The following is a 6,000-nucleotide window of genomic DNA, read 5'->3' as shown; positions in this document are numbered from 1 at the left end:
AACACACACGCAAAAATATATCCCTTGGAAATCATTTGAAAACAAGTATCAGGTCTCCCTATTTTATATCCAGGTTTGACTAAAGGTAAGATTTTGACCCGACTACTAGAATTTTAGAACACTATTACCAGGAACTTAATTACCATGTACAGTTATGGCTTTAAAAACAAAGGCAATAAATCCTTGCCTTTAGAGTTACAGGAAATATTTTATTCAGAAAGCCTGTTGTTTATGGAAAACTAGTCTTTCTAATTAACAAAATAACCACAAGCCACATTAACAAAACCACAGAAATGCAGCAAAGAAAATCTGTGTTTCCAATTGCCCTCAGGGTCATCTTCCAGACTTCTCCAAGTAACTATAATTAAGAGGCAATTGACAACTCAACTTCTCGTTGGCTGTTTTTTGATTTGCAAAAGTTATTGAATCAATTAAAAGACCTAACACAAGAGGCAAAATTAAAGGATTCATATAAAAGCAATTCTACCAAATCCTCTTTTAAAAGTTGGCATTTGTGCTATTAAAATTAAAAAGCATATAATAAATTTTATAACTTTATGCATTTTTATCATAAAATTGAATACAGCATTTAAAAGAAAAAATCCTTTCTTCAAAACTGATAACATTGTGGTTACATTTGGTAAACAATTCCTTTTGATTTGTCAACACTTCATGGTTTATACTGTGAGTACTATATGGATTGAAAATATTTTGTCTTCTCTATATCTATATTGCTGGATTGTGAATGGATTATTTTTGTATGTGTCAAATATGTAGCATTCAAACATTAATTTATTCATCCATGCATGCAGCACAAGTTTATTGGGCATCGATTATACAGTAGGTATTTATTATGCTATTTGCCTGGGCTACAGTGTCAAATAAGGAAAAATTCACTGTCTTCAATGTTGTTAAGGCTTAATTTAAGAGAAAAAGAAATCCCTGCGTATAACTAACTGTGGTAATTGTTCTAATTGAGTTTTTGATAAGCTGCTCTGAGGAAAGACTTCTAAATCTAAATAGGTGACCATGGAAAACTAATGCTCAATTTGGGGAAATTAGTAGGTATTATTTAATGACATAAGGGCTGGGGAGAGTGGGCTTTTTTGAACACCCAAACAAAGAAGTGGCACGCAAGCGAGCAATTGCCGAAATAACAAATGACATAATATGTTAAGCAATGGCATTTCAATATTGTCCTGAAAGCTACAGGGAATCACTGAAGGATTTTAAAGTATCTGACAATATGGTCAGATTTGAATGTTTAAAAAGGTCACTCTAGGAGCAGCTTGGAGGATGAGTTATAGGGAAGTCCAGAATGAAAGCAGCGAAAAAAGCAGTTGGAAAAACTGTAAGAATAATCCACTTGACAGGTAATGACTTATAAACTTAGATATTCACAATGGGGAAGAAGAGGAAAGAGATATGACAGATCATAGATAGATATGGAGATAGGTGGTAGGAAGATAGATAGATAGATAGATAGATAGATAGATAGACAGGTTTAAGGCAAGATAAATATTGATTCAGAAATATGAACTTTGAGATGTTTGCAAAACTTCTGAAAAAAAGGCATCTGGTTGTCATTTAGCTATTTGAGGCTGCCCCAAGAGCAAAGATGTACAGATAGTAAAAGCATCAACCCAGGAAGATGATAGATTCTCAAGGGAGCAGATGCCTTTAGTAAGTGACTGATGTCTTCTTGAAGGAGACCCCTGAGAAGTAGTCAGACAGGTAGAAAGTTAAGTTGCAGATGCCAACAGAAGAGGCATTTCCATCTAACGGGATTTCACATAGTAACAAATAAAACCCAAAGAAGCAATTTCGTATTTTCTTCCAAGATACTGAGTCAAAAGTTTTACTTTTTCTATTTTCTGTGACAATCTCACTAGCAAGAATTCTAAAGTAGTAGGTGTTAAAAAGAAGGAAACAAAAATGGCATTGAAAATTTCATAACCTGATCCTGTGGTTTGAATGTTTGTCCCTTCCAAAACACACATGAAATTTATTTCAATGCGTATTTTGAGTATTGGGGGATGGATCTGTTGAGAGGCAATTTAGGCCATAAAGCCTCTACTCTCATGGGTAGGTTTATTGCTTTAATACAAGGGCTTTAGGGATTGGGCTTTCTCTCCTACCTCCCCTACTTTTCTGCTATATGAGGAACAGAGTTTCTCTCCTCTGGAGAATAAAATATTCAAGTGCCATCTTAAGAGCCAAGACCAGGTCCTTACCAGACATCAAACCTGCCAGTGTCTTCATATTTGAGTTCCCAGCCTCCAGAACTGTGAGCTAATAAATATCTGCTCATTATAAATAAACCAGTCTCATTATTGTGTTATAGCAGTACAAAAAGGACCAGAACACCTAATAAATTAGACCATAAAAATACAGCCTGACTGTAAAATTAGAAGTTTTCTTTCTTCAACTTTTATTTTAAGCTCCAAGGTATATGTACAGGTTTGGGTTTGTTACATAGGTAAACGTGTGCTATGATGGTTTTCTGCACAGATCAACCCATCACCTAGGTGTTAAGCCCAGCATTCATTAGCTATTTTTCCTGATGCTCTCCCTTAAGATATTATAGGAAGAAAAATTTCCCTAAAATATGTCAATAGTTTATCAAACACCTTCCTTATACATTTTGCTAGACTAATTCATACAAATAAAAATAATTTATATTATATATAATATGATACCCAGGTAGAATTGCTTTCCTATGCAATTTGAATTAACAAAATCTATTGCATTCAGAATTGTCTGGATTATGTGTAGTTCTATGTAAGAAAGTTGTTATTACAAATCTCTCAGGAGGAAATGTCACTCTCTATTTTAAATGTGTGGCTTCTCTGCTGAGGATTGTGTTATGTGAACAAGTCCCAAGTCTGGAGAGCTGCTGAGCCCCAAGACTCTTCTGAGCCCTGGGAAGACTCTTCTCATTTCTACAAGCAAACTCTAAGCCCCTGATAAATTCAATTCCCCTACCATGTCCCATGGATACTGGCTGGCTGTAGTGAGGGGATCCTTCCTTCCCACCTTCCCACTCTTTGTCTTCCCAAACCATCAGCAGATGAAGCTTTCCCTTCACCTCATTTTTAAAGGTTTTCTTTAGGATACCCTTTACTACAGAGAAACATATAGGTTACAGTAATAATTGCAAACCTCTTGCAATTTACAAATTACAAAGGTTCCAATAACACACATATTCTTTAAAATGATTATAAAGAAAAAGAATACTCTTAGGGCCTGTAATTCTCTGCTATTTTATGCTATATTTTATTCATAAAATCTTTGGTGGACCTGTCTGAACATATCTAATTTTTTCTTTGGAATTTTATCACTTCCCTGGAGATGCTGTGGGGAAGGTTTGCTCTGTTCTGAGGCACTCCTAAGCTGCATTTCAGGAAGGAAGAGAAGCCAAAATAAGTCAAATATCACAAAAACTCAAACCCATACATGGCTCCTGTCTGTCATTAATTGGAGTAAAGTGATCTGTTCTTACTCTAGTTGTCTGCTAGTGAATGAAAGGAAACTCTTGAAGAAAATGCCATCTAGAAGCTCCACAATTCTCATGTGAATCTTTCTCATGAAGAAATTAAAAAAAAATCAGTGGGCTTTCATCCAAGAATGCAAGATTGGATTAAGATTTACAAATCAATGTAATTTAATATACAAAGGAGAAAAATCAAGTTTATTTCAATATATGCGTAAATATTTTTGATAAAATTTAATAACTAATGTAAATAAGTAATCAAAGGGAAAAATTTATGTCATACAGAGTTTTTAAAAAGAATTGCTAGTGAAATTCACACTTACGGATCAGATACTGAAAATTTTACTCTGAGATATACAATGAGGCAAGCATATCCACTGTACTTCTATTTAGCATGTTGGAGGACAGTGAAAAAAAGTAAAAAAGAAGTCATAAGAATTTGAAACAAAAAATAAAACAGTCATTATGTTCCAATGACATTATTGGTAATGTAGAATATAGAAAAAAATATATATATATACTGTTTAGATTTTTGAGTAGGCCAAAACTTCCTAAATTTTATGTTAAGAGCACAATATGGATGAACCAGAAAGGACAAAAAAAATAATGATTAAGAACTTTTGTTTATCAAAAGACATCATTAAATGAAGAAAAAAGCAAGCAACACAGTCGGAGGAGATGTTTGCAACACATAAATGATAAAGCTCAATTATCCAGAATATATAAAAGAATTCTAAAAATTTAGTTATTCAAAGTCATGACTTCCGTTAAGAAATAGGCAAAAGAGTTGGAGAGACCCTTTGAGAAGAGGGCAATACACATAGGAAAAGGCCCATAATCTCATTAGTCACCAGAAGCATGTAAATTAAAACTCCAATTAGGTACCAATACACACACCTGAATGGCTAAACTGGAGGCGGAGATGCTGACAACACCAAATGTTAGGAAAGACATGGAGCAGCTAGAACTCTCAAGCTCTCAGGGAGTGTTAATTTAAAAAAAAAAAATGTTTGCTTAGCTACTAATGTTCTATTTCCATATAGGGCATGTTCACTAAGGTGTTTACTTAGTTAAAAAAAATACGTAGAGTTATGAGTTGTGCACTTTGATGCATATGTTATACCTCAATATAAATTTTAGAGAAAAAATTACAATTGAGAAATTAAGCAGAGAGCATGGCTCTAGCTGAAACTGGAAATTGGTTACAGGAAATCCATTTGGATAGGAAAGTAGGCTCATGAACTTTCAGTCATTCTGCTGAAAGAGGTTCCAAGTCTAGATTACAGTTATGAGAAAATAATAGAAGTGGGAGAGCTCTGTAAGAAATTACAACCAGAAGTATCCACAGACCACATGATTACCTATAAGGAATCCATCAACTCAAGACTGCTTGCTATGGAGGTGGATGCTTTGTGGCATAACACATTCCGAGAAGGAAAACTTTCTATAGGAAAAAACAATTTAGTAGAGGAATGATGAGCATTTCATCTTCTTCCTGTGTAAGTTGTAATTTCCACTGGATTGTCATTTCTAAATGTTAGTACCAGGGGCTAACATTTTTCATATGCTGTGTGAATGAGGGCCACAACGTAATCAGGCAGTGTCAGGAAAGAAGTTATATTTGACTGTTTCTTCAGTTTTCCTCTTCTAGAATGATGTAGGCCTCTAACTAATCTAGTTTTCTATAGCACATCCTTCCTCTCATTAGCTTCGGAAATATGCTTACATGTTTCTATATGAACCAAATACACAAAAACAGCTAAGCAAATGGCTGGGTAGCTATTATTTAAAAGTGTTGACAGTTTTGTTAAAGACATTCTTAATGGAAACAAGTCATTACTCTCCTTCATTAATAAGACAATTTCTAAAAACCACAAAGGCAATAATTTCAATCCTCCATTATGAACAATTATTTATAGGCCTGAAATGTTCATGTGTCCGTAATATCATCCCCCAAAACTTCCTCCTTTTCAAATTCCAATTGGACTTAGAAAAAAAAAAAAAAGACTTTTCCAAGTTCAACGATATTTAACACGAACGTCAGGATTCTACCTGCTTCTTTACTAGTAAATCCCTTTTACTCATTTTCAAGTACTGGCTTTGTTAAGCATCAAAATAACCTAATATAAGTACTCCTTTAACTGCCATTTAAGAAGCTTATGGTGCTTAATTCACCCTTAAAGTTTTACTTTAATCATTCATTTTATGACCATTTAAAACTAGCCATCTGCATTGAGGGAAATCATTTATTCAACAAATACTTACTGATTTACAATAAATAAATAGCAAATAGTTATTGTTCCTACTCTGTGCTAGGTACTGAGGCCATGACACATCCCCTATCCTGGGAGTACCGACACCATAATTATCTGTTAATGTATTACTAATATTTGTTGGTTTATTTATTTATCACCAGTTCACTAGTATAGCACCCTAAACATCTCCTATGAATCTGGGCCCAAACCATGAGCTCAAAAATTGTTTATATATTTTAAGAGTCTGCGGAA

This window comes from Homo sapiens, chromosome 6, assembly GCF_000001405.40.
Source record: "Homo sapiens chromosome 6, GRCh38.p14 Primary Assembly".
NCBI lineage: Eukaryota > Metazoa > Chordata > Mammalia > Primates > Hominidae > Homo > Homo sapiens.
Note: the sequence above shows the minus strand (reverse complement) of the source record.